The 26,403-nt window shown below is 40.5% G+C and overlaps 1 long non-coding RNA gene across 1 annotated transcript in view; it reads left to right on the forward strand.

The window, feature by feature from the left end:
- The first annotated feature begins 20,205 nt into the window (after window positions 1-20,205).
- Window positions 20,206-26,403, forward strand: part of LOC105372130 (uncharacterized) — a 177,123-nt gene continuing 170,925 nt past the window's right edge. Inside the window, exon 1 of the long non-coding RNA XR_007066382.1 lies at window positions 20,206-20,485. This is a non-coding gene — a long non-coding RNA (uncharacterized LOC105372130). The remainder of the gene's footprint in view (window positions 20,486-26,403) is intronic.

Genomic DNA, 26,403 nt, shown 5'->3' on the forward strand with positions numbered 1-26,403 from the left:
GATAAGAATTTTGTTCACTAAATATACTTTAGTGATAATGAACAAAGTTCAAATTGGGTGAAGATATTTGCAATACACACAACAAATAAGGATTTAATTTGAGGAATATGTAACTAAGAGCTACAAATCAATAATACATTTCAAAGAATTGGTAGTAAAATGGGCAAAAGACATGAACAGACATTTTACTGAAAACACTCATGTTCACTAAATATATAGAAAGAACTTCAACATCATTAGTGATCAGGGAAATGCAAATATCAACATCTTACTTAGATAACATTTTGTATCACTTTCATTGGCAAAGATAAGTGTGGCAATATCAACTATTGGAGAGGATATAGAATCCTCTATTTACCATTGAAGGGAGTGCAAATCATTTTAACCACTTTAGAAAATAGGTTTGGTGGCCGCACATGGTGGCTCACGCCTTCAATCCCAGCACTTTGGGAGGCCAAGGCAGGCTGATCACGAGGTCAAGAGCTCCAGATCATCCTGGCCAACATGGTGAAACCCTCCCTCCCCTAAAAATACAAAAAATTAGCTGGGCATGGTGGCATGCCTGTAGTCTCAGCTACTCAGGAGGCTGAGGCAGGAGGATCGCTTGAACCCAGGAGGTGGAGGTTGCAGTGAGCCGAAATTGCGCCACTGCACTCCAACCTGGTGACAGAGCAAGACTCTGTCATCTCAAAAAAAAAAAAAAAAGAAAAGAAAAAAGAAAACAGATTTGGTGTTATTCCTTAAAGTTGGACATTTACATTCTTCACTCCTGCGTATTTATGGGACCATATTCAAGAACAACTTTTGCACATGCACAAAGATACATAGTGCACTCTTCAAACAGCAAAAATAGAAAACAGTCCAATTGTCCATTAACAGGAGAGTGGTTGAATGCACTGTGTTATATTTACAGAATGAAATATATTTTAGTTTATATAAATGAATTATAGTGACATGCAACCATATGGATGAATGTTAGCAATATAGTAAATGAGAAAGCTTACAAAGTATACTGTAAAAATGACTAAAAGTAAAATATGCTTTTAAGGAATGTATTTTGTTTTGAATTTTGTACTGTGTGTATGTATTATCTATTTTAAAAAGTGAAAAGTGAAGAGATGCTGCTCCAATAATTACCATAAAAGACTTTGTAAGAGCAGTATTTTGTTCTTTGGATCTCGAACACTGATATAGTGGATTATGTTTGTAAAGGTAAAGGAGCCTGCAAGGAAGAAAGGATTGAATATATATATATATAGCAACAATAACTGATGATGGGCAAGTTCAAGTATGTGAAAGGAATAGATATAATCAAGACTGAAGGGACCAAAGTGTTGGCCAGCTGCAAGAACAGAAATGGTGTTTCTTCCAAGTTTCTGGAAAATCCATAAGCATAAGTTTAATATTTTTGATTCTATGCTTTATTTTTTTAAAATTTATTTTCTTGAGTCTTTTTGGTAATTACTAGAATAATATTTCTGTAATGATTTGAAATACTTATTAATTAGGTTAGAATTCATTGTGTGTGTGCTTTGAAACATTTCAGAAATGAAATGATTTTAATATTTAATATTTAAATTTAGTATTTTTAGTGTGAATACTAATACTGAAAAACATGTATGTTTTGATTTTTTTGGGCTTTGTTGTAGTTTTCTCTAATAACCTACCATAAAGAAGATGATGAGTTTAATTGTTTTCTTTTGATATTTTTGCTGTTGTCATTTCCTGCTTAGTTATGTTTTGATAGATTCTCTAACTCTTATCTTTACTGAAGCATTTAAAATGTGGTGTCACTTTTACTAAGGAGTTATGCCTACAGGCACATATATATAGAATAAGTTAATTGCACACTCAAAAATAATGTAAATTATTTTACCACATATTGTTCATGGGCCATATGTGTTAAAATGCTGAGAGTAAAAATTGTGGTCATGCTGGAAGTGGAAAATAATCTGCCTATTCCATTCAATGTTGCTCCAGATATTAGAGTATGGAGTTTCGTTGAGTTCAAGTTGCCTACCAAAAAGATGAAGTAAGTGGGAGGAGCACAGGAGCTTTAGGTTAACCTGTACTCCCCAAAGCACAGCCTAAAGCTGCCTAGATCCTCCGTCCCATGGCCATTCCTCGTGTGCGACATATCCCTGGATAAGTCTTGCCAGAGAAGGTATATCTGAACAAACTTGCAAGTAGAAAAATTTCATCTTCTTAACTTTTTGGCACCTAGGATCTACCTCCTAAAGAAACATCCTCTGAAGAAAGAAAAAAAATCTCTTAAATCTAGGAATATGTAAATTTCAATAAGTTTAAATCATTTTCCCTCTTCCATGTGTCTGTGCATTTTGATACCTGCTATTGTGGAATGAAAAACTTACCTCCCAGATAAAGTTATTCCAAGCAGCAGACAGCCGCAGCAGGTGGGAGAAATTTGGCAGGAAGAGGAGTTGGGGCGTAGGAGCTTGTATTGTATCCCATAAGCTGATACCACATGCATTATGTCATGGGTGTCTGGACTCTCACTTGTTTGGGCTCCAGACGCCTACATCTGGGATAGAACTTTTTTCTTTTGGAGGAAGAGAGGGGCAAAAAGTGATATATTTAGTCCCTCCTCGGCTTTCAGAATGAAATCTAATTAGCCAAAATAGGAATTCTATAAGCAGCTTAAACCCAAATGGGAAAGCCACGCAGAGTGGAAAGCTAGATCAGATGAGTACAAAAGATTAAAGAGACATAGTGATGTCCTGTGGGATAAAAATGGCAAAACCAGAAGATTTTACACTTAAGCTGAAAGATGAAATAAGAATAAGAAAAGGATAAAGGCAAATATCCTTTAAGCAGATTCACATCAAGCAAAACACTCAATCAGGAGGTTGGCAATGAAAGTTACGAAGAACAGTAGAATGTTTTCATCTACTGGATACATTTGAATATACAGACTCTGATGTTTCAGGGTAGAAAAGAACTTCACTGAAGGAATACCAGCATCACTATCTTTCTGAGCATTCTTTGCTTAGAGAATTGATACTGTAAAAATTAATGGAAGACCAACATAATAGTAACATTTAAAAAGATATTGTTATGTAAATAGCAATTTGCATAAAAATGTAACACTAAATTTAAACTTTTACTAATACTGCCATATTTCACATTTCCCCTAAAGGCTTTCAATGGAGGAGAAATAGCGCTCTCTCTCTCTCTCTCTCTCTCTCTCTATATATATATACACATGTATATAAAATAGCTATATATTTTATAAAATAATAAAATAGCTATATATATAATTTAATAATATACTGATATATGAGTAGAAGAATGAGTACCACCATGTTGAGTATCTTATTTATAGAAATCTCTCTTCTCTGATTTGTGTGTGTGTGTGCACACATGCAAATACATGTTTATATCTTTCACTGTTTCATATATTAAACATATTACACACACACACATAAATCTTTGGGAAGAGAATGAATATAGCAAGGCAAATCATTAGTAAGAAAAACATTGATCTGGAATCTTAAATTCAGCTAAGAAAAATCAAAAAACAAAAACCATTAGCCATAAGATTCTGCCACTCAGCTCAAAGATTTATGATGTGCTTCAAGAAGAAGAAGGAGGCCACTAAGCACCTTCAAAAGGTGATAGAAGTAAAATTGAACTGTAGTGGGTTTTGAGCTACAGACCAAGCAGATCTTTAACAATGCCTATGCATAGGGTATAAGAATTGCACCTGCTAGGTCACATGGGTCATCCATGCACCTGGAACTACCACCACCTCTGATGGATGGACACTAGCACTCTCTTTGAAAAATGCACACATACATGCCATTTTCCTTTTTTCTTCTCCTTATGGCCTATCCTGAATATTGGGATTCCCACTCACTGTTCTCCTGCCCCACCTTTACAAGCCCTCCTGCTCCCCCACTTTCTGCTGAGAGCCAGTGGGGAGGGGAGATCTCATAAGAGACATGCACATTGTGATCAGAGAGAAGTATCAGCACCCAGCAGCACTCCTCACTCTAATCCCCTCCCTCCAACTGCTGCCGCTGTCCTTGTCCGGAGCTGGTCTCACAGGTGCCATCACTGCTTCCTCTCTGCACCTGGTGCACACTTGTAGAGTCGAGTCATGAGTTTGGTTGCTCTTCTGAGATGTAGGAGAATCTCACACCAGTCTTTCTTGCTCAGCATTACTACCGTGTGTATGCACAGTCTTTCTATCTCTCAGGGATCTCAGTAAAAAGAAATGAGGCAGGAAGGACAATGACTTGAGAGCTATTCTCTCCCTTTGAATCAGCCAGGGCTCAGTGCATGGGACAGAAACTAACCCACCACAGGGCTACAGCTCCTCAGGCCACCACTAGAGCTAGGCTGGAAGCAAGAAGCCACCTCTTCATCTTCAATGGCCCCTCATATCTGGGAAGCTGGAGAGTGGCCCCCAAATCAGTGACATAGAAATTAGAAACCACTACTGATGGTTTCCTTGCTCAATTTTTGTATTTCCCCACCTTCTTTGGTTGTGCGACTTTAAGCACCTTCCTGTGGGGTGAGTATACTTCCCTACCCAAATGGCATCAGGCTTGGCCATATGATTTATTTTAGCCATTGAAATATGAGTGTAAATGGCAATACAGGTTGAGCAACCCTAATCTGAAAATCCAAAATCCAAAATGTTTCAAAATCCCAAACTTTTTGAGTGCTGATATGACATCACAAGTGGAAAATTCCATACCTGACACCTTTGCCTTATGGCGATTCAATGTACACAAACTTTAGTTCATGCAGAAAATTATTTAAAATATTTTATAAAATTAAACTCAGGCTATCAGTTTAAATGTATATGAAACATAAATAAATTTCATGTTTAGATTTGGATCCCATTTCCAAGATATCTGATTACATATATTAAAATATTCTAAAATCCAATAACATTCAAAATCTGAAACACACCTGGTCTCAAGAATTTCAGATAAGGGATACTCAACCATGATGCCACACCCACACAGAAGTTTTAAGAGCATTACTTGCTTTAGCTCTTTGTCTTCATCCTCTGCCATGCCAGTTGCATGTCTAATAGTGGCTGTGTTTTAACCACGTCCTGAAATGTAGGCAGGTAGGAAGGAACTGCAGTTCTGTACCCAGCCTACTCCTGACATGTGATGTGAACTAGAAATTAACCTTTACGTTTGTAAGCCACTAAATATTTGGTATTGTTTATTACTGAGGTTGCTTTTGGTACCTTGAGAGTGGGTCCTGGATGAAGTGAGATTTTTTTTTAAACTTTGGGGGAAATAATAGAAATTTAGAAAACTATTCTTTCAAAACATACTGTATTGTAAAAAGGGGAGAAATAAACACAGCTTTTAACAAGAATATTTTTTAATGATGATTTTCAAAGATTTTTGGTAGCAAAATCTTTTACTCAAATAGAGACACTTGAGGACGAAAGGCATGTTCCTTCATGAAGAGGGTGGCCTATTCTGCTGTCAATCATCCTTTAAAGAGTGAGATTCTACAACAGGAAGTAAACGTTTGGAAGAACGATGATCAGAGCACTCCTTCTCTCTTGGCCTAGACTCTACAGAGTCCAGGCATACTCAAGAATATTTCCAGTCTCATGAGTCATGCCAGCAGCCAGGCTGAGAGGCAACTTGCAGCCTGGAGATCCTATAAGGATGACCTGGGGGCTATGGGTTCTGAGAGTGATCAAAAAGAATAGTTAGTTCTCACTCACTTTCTGTGTGCTGTTCTCCTTTCTTTTCCTGAAATCTTTAGCTAAGTCTTGTGAGCCTCATCTCACTGGTGCGGTCGAAGAAAATTAAGGGTAACAAAGGAAATGGAAGTTCTAAAAACGATCTGAGATGGGTGGAACGAGGTCTTGGGGAGGGATTTAGGTTGGCTGTGTGTTTCCAGGCATGTGGAGGCACAGGCTGCATCTTGGACAGACGAAAGAACACAGAAGATACCAACCACCTCTCATTCCGGGAAATTCTCTTTGACATACTGGAAAGAATAAGGAAACTTGAAAGTGGATGGAGGGCTGCCTGTTGGGCAGGAGGGGTACTGTGTTGTTGAAATGTAGATGAGCAGATATTTTGATAAGTTCTTCCATTTGTATCTCCAAGTTGATGAAGGTTGAGGATATAGCAGAATGAATTATTGGCCCTAGTACTTCACCCATGCCTCTATGTTTTGTCATATAAACATAAATGTCCTTCCCACAAAAGGTATAGTGTATTTATGCACCACTTGAATTTGGGCTTGGTCCTGTGACCTGCTTTGGCCCATGAGATGGTAATGCCAGTGACACAACAGGGGGTTGGAATGTGCTTGGACAGCCGGGCTTGCCCTTTTGAATTTTTGTTGTCCCATGAGAGGAACATGCCTGGGCTGGCCTGTTGGTCTGAGGAGGAGGATGAGAGAGGTGTGGAGCAGGGCTACCCCACTTACTGACTGAACAACAGAAAATAAATACTTGTTGATACCACTCAGATGTTGAGGTTGATTATTATGTAGCAATAGTTGACTAATACTGACAGATACTTGAATTATAATTCAAAAGTTCAGCAGTTGCTTTAGGGATGAAGAATGGGATAAAGACAGAAAACTGTTCTTTTTCTCAATAGACTGAAAGGGAGATGTCTCTGCGGGGAGTAATAGGTGGTTCAAGAGGAGAGGGATGAAGGCAGCCCACTCCCTGTGATAACCTTGAAGAAGAGAAAGGCAGAAGTTTTCCCAGATTTTATACATCTTGGAGACTAGCGCCTTCATGGATGAAGTGTCATCCCTGTAATTTTCCACGGATGAGTCAAGTCGAAGTGAACAAAACTGCAGATTTGAAGAGAAAAGGAAAGAAAAAAGGCTGACAGGAGGAGAACCACAATCCTAACGATTTCACTGCTATAGCCTTAAGACTGGAGAGGAAAGGTTTCTGGGCAAATAGAAACCTGGGGGAGGTACCTCAAAATACCCCCATCCCCCAAATCCTTATATTTCTTTTCATCTGATAACCCATCCAATTGCAAAAATCATTTGCTACCTTGCTGAATTTTTGCTCATTAACTATTATGTATTCTCTTAGAGGCAGATTGGGCATTCATATGAACCACACTGGGCAAATGGCATCAGGGGTCAGGGGTGGTTGGGGTAAGGGAGAAGCAGTGCTTTTCTATGGTGTGGCCCTCTTGTTTTTTTTTTGTTTTGTTTTGTTTTGTTTTTTCCTGGAGTGCAGTGGTAAGATCGCAGCTCACTACAACCTCTGCTCACTGCTGGGTTCAAGTGATCCTCCTACCTCAGACTCCCCAGTAGCTGGGACTACAGGCGGGCACTACGACGCCTGGCTAATTGTTTCTCCTTTTTGTACAGACAGGGGCTTGCCATGTTGCCCAGGCTGGTCTCAAACTCCTGGGTTCAAGCAATCCTCCCACCTTGGCCTCCCAAAGTGCTGGGATTACAGGCATAAGCCACTGCGTCCGGCCATGGTGAGTCCCTCTTTGATTCTCTTATTGTTAGAGAAAAAAATGCTTGTTAAACCCACAACTGAGGGATTCGTGTGAAGATCACAACAGACGAGTGATGGAGACCTCCCTTCTGCTCCCCTCTAAAGCCAAAGCATCGAAGTGAACAAAAGGGGTGATATGAAGCAAGTGAAACTCAAAGATGAGTTCCAAGAACAGAAATAATTTGATATTTTCTATAGACAAGGCATCACTGTTTTGAAAGCTGATGCCATTGTTGCAGAAAAATAAATTAGCACCTGCTTTATTTCTCCAAATGAATTAATCCCAACTAAGATCACATACAAAAGTGTTGAATGCACTATTAGGCACTGAAAATTTCACATTCAGAAAATATATATTTAGAGGGTTTTTGTAATAGATTTATTTCAAAGTATGATTTTGAATAAAATAAATTATTTTATTTGTTGTATGATATTCCAAATTGCTTGAGTAAGAAAAGGAAAAGAGAAATCTGAGATAATGAGATTTTTTTCTTAAAAAAGGCAGATGTGCCAGAGTTTGTACATTAAAATGTATAATCTGGGGGTATTTTCCAAAGTAATCTCTTAGGGAGGTTACACACTTATTTAGGTCAAACAACTTGACTCAAAATACTAAATACTCTTCCCATGTAGAAATGCTTTCAGGGCTTGCGGCTCATCATTATGAATATCCTTAATGATGGCATATGTTTAATTTTAAGGATGAATTTCATTTCTGAAAGTAGCTATCAGTTATTTTGAGTCAAGTTTTTGGGTGACCCAAAATAAAAGTTTTAGGCTGAGTTCCCGCATACGTTTAACATATTGTCTCAGATGCGTCTGTGGAATGAGTGACTACTCCCAGGGAGACTGACTTCATATGTTGATATATTGGATAAAATGAAATGAGTCTCACTGTGTAGTCACACTTTGTATCTGAATCAAAGGAGATCAATGATCATTTATGCAGCTTTTCACTTCTGGGCTTTCATTTTTCTTCTTTGAGTTCAATATGATACATCATTGCCCATCCTATCTTCAAGAAGAAAGCTAGTGATTAGGATGCAAGGTAAAAGGAGAATGAGTTGCTCATCTCTTGGTTGGTAGGAAAGGGAAGAAGCTGGCACTATGTGGACTAGGGGACTGGGAGAACTGACCTGGGAGTAGGCTTGACCCTGAATTATCTAGAATAGAGCCCAATTCTCATTTTCCAAAGGGACAGTAAATTAAGGCTTGGGTTCAGCAAGAATTGGTTTCCAAGGATAGTTTCAATGTGTTGGTGGGGTCAGGCAGTGGGGGGAAGACCACAGCAGAAAATCCACAGGAGAGCAGGGAGAAGTATAGGAAGGAGGATTCACCCCCCACAATTAGACATTAGACTGACCTGCAGAGGAAACACGCATATTGATTGGGTGGGGAAGCCAACATGGAAGCGCCAAGGAGAATGGAACAATATGGCTGGAGGAGGAAGAAGGTTTGCCTTAAGGCCCAGATTTCATCTGGGTCCATTTAATCCTGGGTCTTTGGCAGCTGAAGAACTTTCAGATTCGACCATCAGACATTTTTTTGAGCTCTCTTTATACACTAAACACTGTTCTCATCACTGAGGATACAAAAATGAGTGAGCCCCTAGACTAAAAATCTATTTCAAAGGGAAACAGTTAAGTATTTACTAACTGGACCATATTGCAATTCAGTGTTTTATTAAAGGGCAGAGCAGAGTAGAGGAGTCTCTCTCAGGCTGGGCATGCAGTTGAGGGTGAGGGAAGAAATCCCCAAAGCTATGACAGCTAACCAAAGTCCTGAAATACTGAAGAGGAGTTATCCAGGAAAAGAAGTGGAGGAGAGGTGTTTTAGAGAGCACGTGCCAAAAATGGAAGGTGTGAGAACGTGGTGTATTCTCGGAATTCAATGCAAATAGTTTAGTATAACTTGGGGGTGGAATGAAGTGGGGAATGATGCTGATGAACATCTTAACGAGTGCCCGCCAAGGGGTTTCGAAGTTTTCAGCAGGCAGGTCTCAGCAGCCAGGGATCAGGCTCCCAATTTACTTCTCTGCCTGAGATTGGCTCAGCTTGATGGAACTGAACCTGTGGGCACAGGGTGTAAGTGACTTCACCTGGGAGAGGCTGGCTAGGCCTGAGGATGGTATTTGGTTTTATCTTAGTAACTACTGAGAATAGTATAGACCAAGTTATGTTTCTCTATGAAGATTTCCATTTAAACAAAATAAGTGAGTTGTCTTGATTTAGTGTTTTGGCTATTTACTGTTTCAACACATTAACTTTTAACTGAATGTCTGCCAAGTTTATGTGTGATGGCTTCATCTACTTGAGAGATTTGTAAAATTAAGAGAATATTTGAAACTTAGATGCTATTTGACGATATTTCAAAATTTCTCTGAAGATTTGGTACCAGTTCCAGTGCTTTCCAACATGAGGTTTATTAAAAAAAACTTTAAATTTTGCCATGTGGTGTTTATTTGAGCTTTTTAATGTACAGACAGTTGGACTAGAGTTCATGAAATATTCCAAGTTCATTTTGTGATTGGTTGCCCCTTTATGGAATTTTAGCAATATAAGCAGGAGAAGCCAGTTAAGTTTGAAGGAGACTTGCCAAGGTCATTTCCAAGTTTATGTGCTCTGGGGTTGGGAATTGAGACTGGATATTTTATTGAGGAAATGCCTTTTCTCTATGACTGCATGGCTATTGTTCTGTATATTAGGAGGGCTTATGTGTTCTGATAATGTTTTAATAACAAATGATTCTGAATATTTCTAAAAGATTGTTTTTCCAAATAAACCTTAAAAATTATTTACTAACTTGTTACTTTGCCAGCTTTTCAATTTTCTGTCATTAAAGAAATAAATGCAGACAACAGTAGCAAATTGCAGCAGCATAAAACCCCTTTGTAATACTACTTTCTACAAAGTTGAATGGAGAATAAAATAGAATGGGATATACTAGATAGAGCAAGTAAATAGTAAGTATATTGAACATATTGAAACTTGCTTGGAAAATTAAAGAGTGATTCTCAAATGATAGTATTTTAGTCTGCAAATTTTCTGAATAGTAAAAATCAAAACAAAACTACAACACTAAAAGCATTCACAGCTAACATATAACTCAGAAACAGTTCCACAGATTTTTTTAAGCCTTTTTTGGTGACACCCCACCAAAGGAATAAGGTCCCCATTCTTCCTGTTCTAGAATTTTCTCAGAGTAGAGGAGAGTGGCAGATCTTTTCTTCCTGCTGATCCCTCATGACCTCGGAATCACTAATACGAAGAGGGTGGAGGATTCTAGGGGACTTCCTCAGACAAACTGACATAATGAGAGCAGTTTAAGTTATAATCAGGGTATCACTTAAAAATGTAAATAGCATGCAGAAAGCTCCCTCCATCATTTTATATATTTTGTGAGAATGTCTCCTTTAATTTCGAGGCCAAAAATGCTAATTTTAACACAAGTCATCAATGCTTTTATTTGGACTGGCAATAGGATATTGTTCTGACCAGTAGAAGAAGGCAAAGACAGTGTGGGGGTCGTCAGTTTTCAGTAAGCAGCCTTTCACTTGTTCTCTCTAGTTTTATCAAAATTCTTCAGCCATGGTGGAAGGTCAACCACATGTTCCCAACTCCAGAATCTTTGGGGATTCTGGGTTAATGGGAAAGAAGTAGTTTCCCACACAGTGGTGTTTATGGTGGAGAAGGGTTGAGGGGATCTGGGAGTTCGGTGTTCCTTTGAACACCTAGAACTGCTTGTGTTTTCAGCAACTCCAATCCTCAGTTTTTCTATGGCTCAGGGGGGCTAATTGGCTTACTTCTTGTTTATTTCCCCTTCTACAGGTGCCTAGTTTTTAACTTTCTCCTCTCTGCAAAGTCATTTGATACTTATCCTTGTTTTCAAGCCTCCAACATATTACTGACATCTCTTGGGCTACTGTCAGCTCCCTTCTTGGTTCATGATTGCTATGACTGCATTTCTGTTATTTTAAAAAAATCCTTTATTATCATTTTAATGGAGTATTGGAGGGAGCTGAAAGAAATGTGTTCAATCTCTTATGTTTAACTAGAAATCTCTAAAGCATTTTCTTTAAGAGACGGGGTCTCACTCTGTCACCCAGGCTGGAGTGCAGTGGTATGATCATAACCGCCAGCCTCAAACTCCTGGGCTCAAGTGATTTTTCCACCTCAGCCTCCCAAGTAGCTGGGACTATAGATGTATGCCACCGCTTCTGGCTACTTTTAGTATGTATGTATGTATGTATGTATTTTGCAGAGACAAGGTCTTGCTATGTTGCCCAGGCTGGTCTCAAACTCCTGGGTTCAAGCAATTCTCTCACCTTGGCCTCCCAAAGGGCTGGGATTATAGGTGTAAGTCACGGAGCCTGGTCTCTAAAGCATTTTTTTTAAATTTCAAGGTGACATGATGGTCATTCTCTTTCTCTTTTCACATCAGATTGCTGCAAGGGAGCTGGTTTGTACAGGAATGTGTTTTTCATCGATGTAGGATGCAATTGCTTGGGTATGTCCAGCAGAAAGTTGGAGTAGGGTATTTAAATGATGTTCTGAGAACCCTCTTGGGAAAGATGTCATCCAAAGGGCATAACAAGCTGAGCAAAGTTGGCCCAGAAACAAAGACTTAGATGTCGGAGGAAAGGGGGCTTCTGAATAGAGCAAGAATCTATCTTTTAAATTTATTTTCTGGCCCAGCCATTTATAGACTGTTATGTGATTCTTATTGGGAGAATAATAACTAGAAGCTTAAATGGAAAGCATTAAACTCTGAGAAATATTTGGATACCAGGAGTACTCCTTTAGAGCCCCCATTAACCCAGTTCAGTAAGGAGACCAACATACACCCTCAACTTGGCCACTAGATTAGTGACATGTGCTTAGTGGTCTGGAATTCTGGGCTGTAAATTTTGGGGAAACAGACCATGTATCCCTTGTTTCCTGTTGTGTCCCCAGAATCTAACACAGTGCCAGAGAATCAATAAATATTGGTTGAGTGACTGCTGGAACTGGTAGCCCACAAGTTCTTGTCATCATAAGAAGTAGACTTCATGGCAGAAGCAGGAGAAGCACCCAGAAGTGCTGACTAGGAAGGGAATCAGCTGGGCCACTGGAGGTGGAAGGGATGTGCTTTTGCACAGCTTCCTATCAAGCGTTTGCAGGAAACCTCATGGAGTATGGTCAGAGAAAGAGAGAAAGGAACTGAGAAACCATCAATCGCAGTGGGCAGATCTTGTTTGCAAAAGGCCTCCTGGGATCTCCTAGAAATAGTCAAGTGATATTTATCATGAAGTTTCAGTTTATGCAAAAGCAGGAGGGAATTGGAGCCATTGAAATACAGGTTATTAACTTGAATGTAACATAAACCACCACTGATGTAGCTGGGAAAGACATGAGTTGCCCAGTAGTTTGAATTATAATCAGGATCCAGGTTGTGGTAGCTAGACTTCAAGATGGCTCTGATAATCCTTGCCTCCTGGTATTCATGCCCTTGGGTAGCCTTACAACCCAATTTGAATGGGGCTAACTTGTGTAACCACTAGGATATTGCGGAATCAGGGTCTGTGACTTCTAAGTCTAGGTCACACAAGGGAATGTGGCTTCTACTTTGCTCCCTCTTTTGGGTCAATTGCTATAGGAGAAGGCAGCTGCCATGTTGTGAAGCAAGCAGCCCTACAGAGAGGCTCCCTTAGCAAAGACCTGAGACCACCTGCCAACAGCCAGAGAGGAACTGAGGCCTCCTGCTAACGGAGGACCCAGTTGACATCCTGACTGCATCCTCATACGAGACGGTGAGCCAGAATCACCCAGCTAGGCCACTCCCAAATTCCTGACCCACAAAAACAATGAGAGAACACATGTTTATTGCTTTAAGTGCCTAAGTTTTAGATCAATTTTTAATACAGGCAGAGGTAAATAATATACAGGGAAATATGTATCTATGAAGGTGACCAGGTCCCATGTGATGTAAATTCAACAGATAATGCAAGATTTTAATATTGGCTAAAAATAGCAATGATGAGAATCTATAAAATATAGACTCTGTGCCTTTACTATATATAGCAGAGATTCTTGACTCTGCTTTTGGGACACCCCAGTGTATCTCAAAGGCTGAATTTTAATTTGCTCAGATATGTGAAATAAATGACTGCCTTGTGATTTTGGATGCGGCAGCTGCAAAGAAAACCATGAGTAAAGCAAATAACTTCACAACATGGCAAATATTAGCATTCTTTACTAGTGCAGTATGAATATACAGGACACCAAGATGTTGTCCTTTTGTAAACAATTACCAAGGTGTATGTGTGTGTGTTCAATACACATCTACTCATCTACACGATATATTTAAAAAATTGTTATGGTTTTATACAGCTCACAAAGCACCATCACTCATTTGATTCTTAAAAATCTTTCCCATCAATCTGTGAATTAACCTAGGGAGAGCATTATTATCACCCATATATAAATAGCAGAAAACAGGCTCTGCCAGCAGCCTCAGCAATCCCACCTGGGGGGCTTAGATTTTGGACAACCCTCATTAATGGGACTTAGTCTGATCATACAGTCTGATCATAACTGTTAGAGGCTGCCCTGACCCCATATCTCTCTTGTGTCCAATTAGACATTGTACACAGGGTCTTGGGTACTATCTACTCCTTATATACTCTCTTTGCACTTCATTGACAGCCTGTTGACATTCCTTTTCATCTCATCATGTTCACTCTATCCTTCCTCCTGAAGTTTAATCTGTTTCCCTCCCCAGGACCATAGCCTCCCTCATTTCCCCTTTCCCTTACCTTCATATATACCTTCTCAATCTCCAAGACACTTAATTTCTCTCTGTCCAGTGGTTTTCTTCTCCATAGCCTTAAACATAGAGGCTCTTTGTTGGACCACCTCTGAAATCTGTTCATTTGCACTCTCGTTGAGCATCCACCCTCTTTATGCTATCCTGTGAAGGACTGAGTGGGCTGACATAACACAATGACAATTCTCATTGTCAAGGAAAGAACACCCTGGAGGGAGAAAAGATGTGTAATAACTAAGGCTGGGTGTAATAAGTGATAAATGTGATGGGGTGGTCCAGGCAAGATGGTGAAGGAGGATTTGAGCATTTCCAGATGAGGAGATTAAGAAATGTCCCATGGAGGCTGGGCATGGTGGCTCACACCTGTAATCCTAGCACTTTAGGAGGCTGAGAGGGGCAGATCACTTGAGGTCAGGAGTTTGAGACCAACCTGGCCAACAGGGTGACACCCTGTCTCTAATAAAAATACAAAAATTAGCTGGACATGGTGGCGCATGCCTGTAATTCCAGCTACTCAGGAGGCTGAGGCACAAGAATCACTTGAGCCTGGGAGGTGGAGGTTGCAGTGAGCTAAGATCATGCCAGTGCACTCCAGCCTGGGTGACAGAGTGAGACTCTGTTCAAGAAAAAAAAAAAAAAAAAAAAGCACCATGGAGATGGTAACATCCACATCCGAACTGGGCTTTGAAGAATGAGAAGGATTTTGTTAGATGAGAATGATGGTGTTGTGGGATGGTGCTGAGATGGATGAGAACGGCAAGGAAAAAAGCAAGTGTAAGCCAAGAGCTTGGAAAGGCTGCTGCACAGCTGTGAAGAGCCTCGGGACCAGACTTCAGTTCGGGGCGCATGGGATTTAGAAGAACAAGACCTAGGTTTGAATTTGATTCAGCCACTAAATGGCTGTGTGAGCTTCATTTCATCTGTAAAGTTAGCTGTGAAGGCAAGATGAGAATCAGGTGGGTGAAAGTATCAGGGAAGTATTGGCAGAAGGAAAACATTCAACCAATGTTAGTAAAATGCAGAAGAAAATTAGTTTGGAAAGACAGGCTGAGGTCATCTTATGGAAAGCCTTGCATGTTAGGCTGAGGAATCTTAGACAGTGGGAAACTGTTGATAACCAAAATGAGAATTGGTGAGGATTTCAATGGCATGCAAGATGGTTTGTGGGAGTAGACTTTGGAGCCAGGACTATTACTAAGGTGATTGTAACAAGTTACCTGTGAAATTATAAATACCTGAACTATTCTGGTGAAGGTGGGAAAGGAAAGAAGGGACACATGCCCAAAGGAACTATAATAGAAAAGTCAGGAACACTTGGCAAGAGCCAGGATTCTTCCTACATTTGCTTTTGCACTTAGGCTGAGGCTGAGAAGTACAAGTCAGGTTAAATTCTTGTAATAATGGCTAAAACAGCAACAAACACTCGTTAAGCAACTGCTATGCGTCGGACACAGTTCTAAGCACCATCAGTGCACCATCTCACGGAATCCCTCACAATGGCCCCGGAGGTGGGTACTAGTGTGGCTACCAGTTTACAAATGAGGATACTGAGGCTTGCAGAAGTTAAAGATGTTGCCAAAGTCGCATCCCTACACAACAGCACAGTCAGGATTAAAATCCAGATCTGCTTGACTTTAAAGCCCATGCTCTTAACCATTACACTACCTCCAAGTGCAAAACCAGGGTAACTGCATGAGTACGTATGCTTGCATTTACCCAATCCTGACCTTGTGCTCTGTGCTCTATAAATTGTTGGAAGTTTAGGGACTAAAGATTACCCTTCCTATACTTCCAGAGTTCAGGATGATAAGGGATACACAGAAGAGTGACCATTCCTAGGCAGACAAAAATATTGACATTTTAATGGGATGCAAGTGCCAAGCAATGCTCACAATACAGTGTCTGGTAAACAGAGGTCTCCTCTATTCTGTGCGAAATCTAAGCTTTCAGATATGCATGGAGGTTTGCCTTTAGGAAGAAATGGCTTGGTCAAGAAGGCTCAGTCCATTGACTCAGGCCTACAGTTTATCCATCCAGGAGGAGCAAGAGGAGTGACCACCTGGCCACTGCTCCTTCAGCGTTGGTGAGATCCCGCTGAAGTGGGGTTAGGAGGACAAGCTTTGCTTTTTCATGCTGATCGGACAGGCAGGGAAAAAAACAGAGGGAGGAGACCTTTCCTGTTTTTGAAGCACATTCAGGACCTCTGCAGGTGAGTTTGGCTAGATATATTTCTGATAGAAATCAAGGAATGTTTGTTTTGGGGGTCCACCACTGGGCACAGGGAGCAAGGTACAGATTAAAAGTCTTTATCCAGGATTTGTATTATGTGCAACACACTGAGAACCCTACCTCCTTCTAGGACTCAGGACCCACTCACACTTACATCAGAGAGCCAGCCTCCTCCCTCAGGAAGAAACAAACACTAGAGGCTTTGTCACCCCTCACCCCCATGTTCTGTGGACTCTTCTTCCTAGAAGGTTGACAAGAATTCTTCTAACACATATATTGCATAGTGTCTATTACTTCAACAGTTCTGCCCGGAAGGTATTTTTATAATCATCTCCATGACTTCATGGAGAAACTGAAGCTCAGAGAATTTAAGTGATTTGCCCAAGACACAGAGAAAGCATGTGGTAGAGCTGGAGTTCCAGCCCAGGTCGATATAGTTTCTAAGCTCACACTGTTTCCCCCACCCCTCTGTGCCTTCCATTAACAGCCGCCATGCAGGGAGCTGGACACTATGCTGAATGCTTTGTCTGTATTAACTCCAAACTTCACAACAACCTATATATATATATATTTGCATTTTATATATATATATATATAGTATAATTATACTATAAAATGGTAGTACCTTCCATGTTATACTCTCTCTCTATATATATACATATACACAAAATGGGAATGATAGTACCATATTATACTATCATTCCCATTTTCTAGATGATGAAAACTGTTCATTGAGGATAAGTACCTTACTCAAGGATGGGCAGCTACAGAAGGATACAGCCAGAGTTGGAAAGTAAGTCTGTTAACCCCAGGCCTGTGGATTTTCCACTTACTCATGTTTTGACTGACCTTCCATGACCACTATAATAATGTTTTAGACATATGTATAACATGCCTGATTTTTTTTTATTTTTTATTTTTTTTAGATCAGCACTTGCTTCATTGCCCAGGCTGGAGTGCAGTGGCGCGATCTTGGCTCACTACGACCTCTGCCGCCTGGGTTCAAGCGATTCTTGTGCCTCAGCCTCCCAAGTAGCTGGGATTACAGGCATGCCATCATGCCTGGCTAATTTTTGTATTTTTAGTAGAGACAGGGTTTCACCATGTTGGCCAGGCTAGTCTTGAACTCCTGACCTCAAGAGATCCACTCACCTCAGCCTCCCAAAGTGCTGGGATTACAGGCGTTAGCCACCATGCCCGGCCTTGTTTGTATTTTGTGGGTTTTTTTGTTTGTTTGTTTTGTTTGTTTTGAGGTAGGGTCTCGCTCTGTCACCCAGGGTGAAGTACAGTGGCATGAACATGGCTCACTGCAGACTTGACCTCCCCTGGGATGATTTGTATATCTCCATATAGATTATCTATCTATCTATATCCCACTTTTAAATAATGTTAATGTTTATTCTGTGACTTTTTGGTGGTGATTCATGCAAAATATAGACTAATTCTCTTTTTGTGCAAACTGTTTAGAAAAGATTGCAGCCTTCTACATTAATTTTATAAGCTCTATTGCCATAGAATCATTATATGGGTAGGAGCCTTGAAATGACTATTGCTATGTCCCCCTAACCCTGTGTACAATGCACTCAAACTAGTTCACAAAATTGCCTTTTCTGGGCAGAGACAGCTAAAAACACTGCGATGAGGACACATTATTTATACATTAAAACCTGTTAGTTGAGAGCCAACTACTTTAATATAGTTTAGTGGTTCAGCAAAATTTCACAAAGCATAGAGTTAAATAACCAAAACGATTTTCATAAATAAATGAAAACCTCTGTATACACTTAGTACTCAGTTTTAACAACGAATGTATGTGCTGACCTGATGATGGAGTCCCCACGATGAGGCATACTTAGGTAAGTTCTACCAGAGCTTCCTTACACTCATTTGTCTTTATGCCTCACATTTTTATGGCATCACAGCCTTGTTCTAACCATAACTTTTTGATTCTTGAAACATTTCCTTTGAGCAAGTGGGAATTACCATTTACAACAGCTTAACTGAAAATTAAATTAACTTTATATGAGGTAAAGTAACTTCTGCAAGATTGTGTAGAATAAACATAAGAAATCAGAGGTTTCTTGACACGTAGGGAGATAAAAATTTGTTCCTGGTATATTTTATTTTATATGGTATTTATGCTAAAAAGCCTGCATAACCTGAAGAAAGTACATGGCATAAAAGGGGAAAAAATAGTCATTATCAAGTGACATATCCCAAAAGAAATCTGCTAGATGATATAATTTCTTGTGATACCAGAAATGTTCCAGAAGACAATTCATTCATTGAAGCTGTTGTCTTTGTAAAATTATGATTATGGAGAAATAAATCTGTTGCCTCCCCACCACTCAAAAAAAAAAATTCTTAGAAGTGAGGACTCTCTCTGTCTTTTCTGACCACTTACCCATATTCATTTGCCAGCAGCAAAGACCAAAGTGAGGAGGTCAGAAGGTCAAAGGTGACAAACTGGTTTCATAAAGATAAGCGCTCGGATACAATGAAGTGACCAGTGACACCACATACATTCCATAGGGCAAAGTACAGTAAAGAGTCTTGGGACACATGAGCACCCCCAGCCAGGCCTCTGCTTTCACAACTTTTCCTTCTGAAAGGTGGGACTCTTTTTCTTCCCGTCACGGTTAAGGATCTTTATCTCACATTAGGGACAGAGCATTTGGCACATTTTAAAATTAGACTGAAACTTTCAGTATGTCAGTGATCCCATCCTGGACTAGAAATCTGGAGCCTCCGTCAGCTCAATGGCAGCTTTTCAGGCAGAAGAAAGAGAACCTCATAACACTGCGTAGGTTACAGGTGAGCCCAAGGCCAAGCACCAATTGGCTTAAGGTCTATTACTGACTTCACTGTCACTGAGCAGCTCTGTGCCCTTGGGATGCCACTTTGAAGCAGGAGAATAGGGTCTGGAGGCAGGGAACCTAAGGCCGATTCACGCTGACTTCCTAGAACTAAACCAAAAAGAAAACCCCAACTTTCCAAGCCCACGTAACAAAAGGACCAGAGGCTACTTCCTTTGAAACCTCCCCCTTTTCTGTGAGGCAGATGAAAAATTGAAAGTACCTCTGTTTGGTCCCCTCCTGCTCCTGTAACCAATTGAGAGGTGACAGCATGCTGGCAGCCCTCAGAGCCCTTGCTCGCTCTCATGCCTCCTCGGCGTCCGTGCCAATTCTGGCGGCGCTTGAGAAGCCCTTCAGCCCGCCGCGGCACTGTGGGAGCCCCTTCCTGGGATGGCCGAGGCGGGAGCCGGCTCCCTCAGCCTGCGGGGAGGTGTGGAGGGAGAGGCACCGGCGGGAACCGGGGCTGCGGGGGCGCGCTTGCGGGCCAGCTAGAGTTCCGGGTGGGCGTGGACTTGGCGGGCCCTGCATTCGGAGCCGCCGGCTGGCCCGCCGGCCCCTGGCAGTGAGGGGCTTAGTACCCGGGCCAGCAGCTCCGGAGGGTGCGCCGGGTCCCCCAGCAGTGCTGACCCACCGGCGCTGGGCTCGATATCTCGCCAGGCCTTAGCTGCCTCCCCGCGGGGCAGGGCTCGGTACCTGCAGCCCGCCATGCCTGACCAATCACCTGTCTGTAAAACAGACCAATCGGCTCTCTGTAAAATGGACCAATCAGCAGGATGTAGGTGGGGCCAGATACGAGAGAAAAAGCAGGCTGCCCGAGCCAGCAGTGGTAACCCTCTGGGGTCCCCTTCTACGCTGTGGAAGCTTTGTTCTTTCACTCTTTGCAATAAATCTTGCTGCTGCTCGCTCTTTGGGGCCACACTGCCTTTATGAGCTGTAACACTCACCGGGAGGGTCTGCAGCTTCACTCCTGAAGCCAGCGAGACCACCAACCCACCAGAAGGAAGAAACTCCGAACACGTCTGAACATCAGAAGGAAAAGACTCCGGACACGCCGCCTTTGAGAACTGTAACACTCACCGCGAGGGGCCACGGCTTCATTCTTGAAGTAAGTGAGACCAAGAACCCACCAATTCTGGACACACAGTCAGGCTGGTTGTGGGCCAAGTCTTCATTTGCATAGGAGTATAACTTTGTAACTTCTCTTCAGCCTCTAATTGGTCACTTTCCACAACCAATCAGATGATTGCATAGGGTGTAACTTTGTAACTTCGTTTTGGCCTCTGATTGGCCCCCTCCCACAACTAATCAGACTGACAACAGGCCACTACTTCATTTACATAGGGTGTACACCAAATAACCAATGGGAAACCTCTAGAGGGTATTTAAGTCCCAGAAAATTCTGTAACCGTGCTCTGGAGGCACTTGCTCAGCCTGCTCCCACCTAGTGGAATGTACTTTTGTTTTCAATAAATCTCTGCCTTTTTTTTTTTTTTTTTTGCGACGGAGTCTCGCTCTTCCACCTAGGCTGGACTGCAGTGGCGCTATCTTGGCTCACTGTAAGCTCTGCCTCCCAGGTTCACGCCATTCTCCTGCCTCAGCCTCTCTAGTAGCTGGGACTACAGGCGCCCGCCACCACGCCACGCCCGGCTAATTGTTTGTATTTTTAGTAGAGACGGGGTTTCACCATGTTAGCCAGGATGGTCTCGATCTCCTGACCTCGTGATCCACCCGCCTTGGCCTCCCAAAGTGCTGGGATTACAGACGTCATCCACTGTGTCCGGCCTAAATCTCTGCTTTTGATGCTTTATTCTTTCCTTGCTTTGTGCCTTTTGTCCAATTCTTTGTTCAAGACTCCAAGAACCTGGACACTCTCCACAGGTAACAGCTTTGTCTGCCTGCTCTTCATTTTCCACATGCATATAGACTAAGTGATTTCTAAGATCTTTTAATCTCAACAAGTTTGTAATTCTGGCTGTAAACCCCGGAGTGGGGAATGACGTAAGGAAATATGGGTAACGATAATGTTAATGTAAAACACTATCAAGGCATCTGAATGTAGGAGACAAATGACTTGTAGAATAATATGAGGAGTTTTTCTTTTTGCCAAGAACAAGTAACAGGGACCAGACTTACCATCCCATATGCAATAACTTGAAAACTAGACAAAATACGCTGGGCATGGTGGCTTATGCCTGTAATCCCGGCACTTTGGGAGGCCGAAGGGGAGCGGATCATTTGAGGTCAGGAGTTTGAGACCAGCCTGGCCAACATGGTGAAACCCCATCTCTACTGAAAATACAAAAATTAGGTGGGCATGGTGGTGCACCCTTGTAATTCCAGCTACTCGGGAGGCTGAGACAGGAGAATCACTTGAACCCAGCAGGTGGAGGTTGTAGTGAGCTGAGATTGTGCCACTGCACTCCAGCCTGGGCAACAGAGCAAGATTCCATCTCAAAAAAAAAAAAAACAAAACAAGACAAAATATGGAAAACAGTAATTTTGAAAACATTAAAATCAGGCAACAGACCATGCTGAGTGTGTGGAACAAATGAGGTGAGGTGATTGCCTCAGTGTATTGCCTTGATATTGTCTGCAGGGCATGCTGCAGGCTGCAGGAGCCGGGGCAGAGCCTGATTGTCTCCCTGAACTTGGTGGATGGAGTTAAAAATCCAGGGAGGCCGATGTGACTGGGCTGAACACAGGACAGGGGAGAAAGAAGGGAGAGAGATTTAAAAATTTGCAGAGGGTCTTTCTTGAATCTTCAGCTGAGTATTGATCAGTTTGTGCAGGTGAAGAAACATCTGAGGCTGAGGAAACAACTACCGGATAAGAGTAAAGGGAACAATCTTCAGAGCTCACGTGGGGCTTGGTCTAGCATCTATCCCCCCAAATCAGAGCGGACAACCTCATAATTCATAGGGTGTTGGGTCAGTAACTGGACAAAATAATCCCTAGACTAAATGCTGCTCTCATCCCACCTGACTAAGCTCTAAAGGAAGACCCAAAGTATTCAGATTTTTAAGTAACTTAATTATATCTCAAAACAAAGCCCCCTCCCAATTTTTATAGAAATATAAAAATACCCAGCACCCAACATGATTAAATTTGTAATGAGTGGCATCTAAGAAAAATTACTAGGCATTCAACAAAACACACATACACACACACCCCAAAACAAAAAGTAGGTTGGTACTTTTTGTATTTTTTTAATTGAATTGTTAACTACCAACAAATAATTTTTGTATTAGGAACTGAGTATAATTTCCAGAATGGGATCACATATTTTGATTAATTAGTTTTCTCAATATTTCAAAGGTAATGCAGTAAAGGAAGGATAATCTTTTCAAAAAATAGTGCCAGAACAATTGGATATCCATATGCAAAACAATTAACTTCATTCCATTTCTCACGGTGTAAACAAAAATTAACTCGAAGTCGTCTTGATCACCTGGCCTCAAGTGATCCTCCCATCTTGATGTCCCAGAATGCTGGGATTACAGGATCATAGAGTCAAACTTAAAGTTAAACATACCATCAAATTTAAAGCTATGAAACTTCTAGAAGAAAACATAGAAATTGTTTTGATCTTGGACTAGGCAAAAGCATTGTCCATTAAAAAGAAAAGATAAATTAGGCTTCATCAAAATTCAGAACTTCTGCTGTTCAAAAGACACCATTAGAGAATGAAAAGACGAGCCAAAAACTGGAAGAAAATATTTATAAATTTTGTGTCTGATAAAGGCTTTGTATCCAGAATATATAATGAACTCTCAACTGTTATTGGTAATTAATAATGCAGTAAAAAACTGGCAAAAGATTTGAACAGAAATTTTTCACCAAGGAATATATATAATGGCAATTATACACTCCACTATACAAGTAGAGTGGCTAAAATTAAAAAGTCTGACCAAACAAGTGTTGATGAGGATGTGGAGCAAATGGGACTCTCATGTACTGCTGGTGGGAAGGTAAAATTGTGCAACCACTTTGGAAAACAGTTTGGAAGTTTCTTAAAAAGTTAAACATACATCCACCATATGATCCAGGCATTCTACTCCTAGATATTTACCCAAGAAAGATTACAGACTTGTAAATGAAGGTTCGTAACAGCTTTATTTGTTAACCCAAAGCTAGAAACAATCCAAATATTCAAACTAATTGTGATATATACATATGAGTATAATTGAAATCTTATCAGCAATAAGAAGAAATGAACCATTAATATGTGCTACAACATGAATGAATCTTAAAATAACTAAACGATTATTCCTGTTTTTCTCTTCTTGGATCCTGTTTTGTGTCAGGCATTGTGATGTAAATTCTATCATAAATTTTGTTGTAGAAATATGAATGGTAAATGTAATGATGCCCTTAAGATGTTTATAGCCATTGTTGAAGACAGACAAATAAATGATCCATTATAAAGGAGATAAAATATTTAAAAGCCTTTAATGATTTGACTTAAGAGCAGTTTTTAAATGCCTCGATAAATGGGTTTAATTGATATTTGTGTCCTAGGAAACTGAGTCCATAGCAGGTGATCCAGAAATATTTGTTGATTGGCAATGGATGAATGGATAAAGAAATTGTGGTGTATATACACAATGAAATATGAGTAAACTTTAAAAAAGAAATTCTGTTATTTGTAAGACTGTGGATGAACCTGGAGATCATTATGCTAAGTGAAGTAAGCCAGATACAGAAAGCCAAATGCCACTCAATCTCATTTACATGTGGAATCTAAAAGTCAAACTCATAGAAGTAGAGTGTAGCAAGGTGGTTACCAGAGGCTGATGGGAGAGAATGGGGAATGGGGAGATGTTGTGCAAAGGGTACCAAGTTTCAGTTGGGCAGGAGGAATAAATTTTAGAGACTGATTGCATATCATGGTGACTATAGTTAATAATGCATTGTATACTTCAAAAATTGCTAGAAGGGTAGATTTTAAATGTAATAGTCCCCAAAATTTAGCATGTAGAGGAGTTGTTAATTGGCTTTATTTAATCATTCCACAATGTAAACGTATAAAGACATTACATTGCACCCCTAAATTTATACAATTATTATTGGCAATTAAAAATGAAATTTAAAAAATTTGTTGATTGAAGAAGATTCCAGTCACATATGTTGAGTCATATAAAACATAATTGCAATGTATTATATTTGATAATTTATTTAATGAATATTTTTATTTGCTACACATAAAAACTACAAACTTAATTGTCAGAGCCCTTACCTTTAAGTCTACATAGTAGATCACAAGTAACAAATAATAATAATATGATAGAATGTGTATACATGCTAAGATAGAAGTTCCCATGAAGGAAGGAGCAAACAAGAGGATTGGAATGAGGATAAGTTGGTATGGGAGATATCACTGCCTCGGAACTCAGGGTATAAGGCTGCAACTCGCTCCTTATACAATTGCTGCACAAGCAGGAAGGCGACTTGCCACAAAGCCCAAGGCAAGAACCCTGTTACCAGAATCAGGGGTGAGATAACAGGATCAGCAGCAGCTCTGAAGCCTTTGTCTCTAGCTCCTTAAATCTTCCTCTCTTCCTCCCCACCAGAGACAACTCAATTGTTTCTAGAGTTTCAGGTGAAAGATTTTGGTCCCAGTTTTAGGTATTGGGAGTGAAATTCAACTACTACATCAATGGACTGACTCTAATTTTTGAGAAAACGTAACTTCATGTTGGCAATGTCTCTATCAGAACAATATCAGGTGAGGTAGAGTGAAGATACAAAGTAGAGGTCCGAAAGGGTGTGATATGATTTGGTTCTGTGTCCCCACCCAAATATCTTCTTGAATTGTAATTGCCAGATGTTGAGTGGGAGACCTGGTGGGAGGTGATTGGATCATGGGGGCAATTTTCCCCATGCTATTCTTGTGATAGTGAGGGAGTTCTCACAAGATCTGATGGTTTTATAAATGGCAGTTGCCCCTGGGCTTTGCATGCTCTCTCTTGCCTGCTGCCATATAAGACGTGCCTCTTTCCCTTCCACCATGATTCTAAGTTTCTTGAGGCCTCCCCAGCCATGTGGAACTGTGAGCCAATTAAACCTCTTTCCTTTATAAATTACCCAGTCTTGGGTATTTCTTTATAGCTGTGTGAGAATGGACTAATACAGGGTGCTATGTGAGCTATCAATCAATGGCACTGGAGCCATCAATTTTGACTGCAGCCAGGGTCAGAAATGGTTTCAAAGATGAAGAAGTTCTGAGTTGCATCTTGAAAAGCAAATAAAATTTCAACATGGGAAAACCGTGTTCAGCCAGAGGGCTTATTACCTGTTGGAAGTTCAGGGTGCTCAAAAAAAAACGAGGTATGAAGAAACATAATTTGTTGGAGTAAGATGAATGTCTATGTGATACACAGAAGAGAATAAATGCTTTTGTCCAGCATTTTTAGTTAATACAATATTCTGCTTAATGAAATAGAGGATTGCTGTGTATTTCATTCATAGATTTCAAATTATAATAAAACACATTTGTATCAGTTAGAATTCAGTTGTAAAAAATGAACTGCTCCATGGATCTTAAGCAGAAAACAGTTGGGAAGACTGGAGGAGACTCCAGGTTGACTAGTCTGCTGGGTCAGGGGGTAAATGTAACACACCATAGCTTACATGCATTTTCATTTTATGATGCAGGAACTCTAGAATTTTTCAGTGCCTCAGTTTGCCTAGAATTAACACATATGAGACACCCCAGAAATGTTGAATAAATGAATGAACATATGTGAAGGTCAACATTCCATAAAAGTACAGACATACTCATTAATAGAAATTTCATTTCTTAATCTCCCAAGAGCCTTGCACAATGACTTATACATAGTAGGCAATTCATCAATATTTGTTGAATGAATTTCAGAAGAAAGCAAATAAAGTTGATATTTATTTCTGTGGTGATTTCAAATAAATCAAGTCCATTTTTGTCATTCTTTAAAAAGGATGATGTATATCTAACCTTGCAATCATGTCAGACATGGTTAACAATACGATGCTGTTTGCATAATAGTA

The sequence above is a fragment of the Homo sapiens genome, chromosome 18, assembly GCF_000001405.40.
Source record: "Homo sapiens chromosome 18, GRCh38.p14 Primary Assembly".
Lineage (NCBI taxonomy): Eukaryota > Metazoa > Chordata > Mammalia > Primates > Hominidae > Homo > Homo sapiens.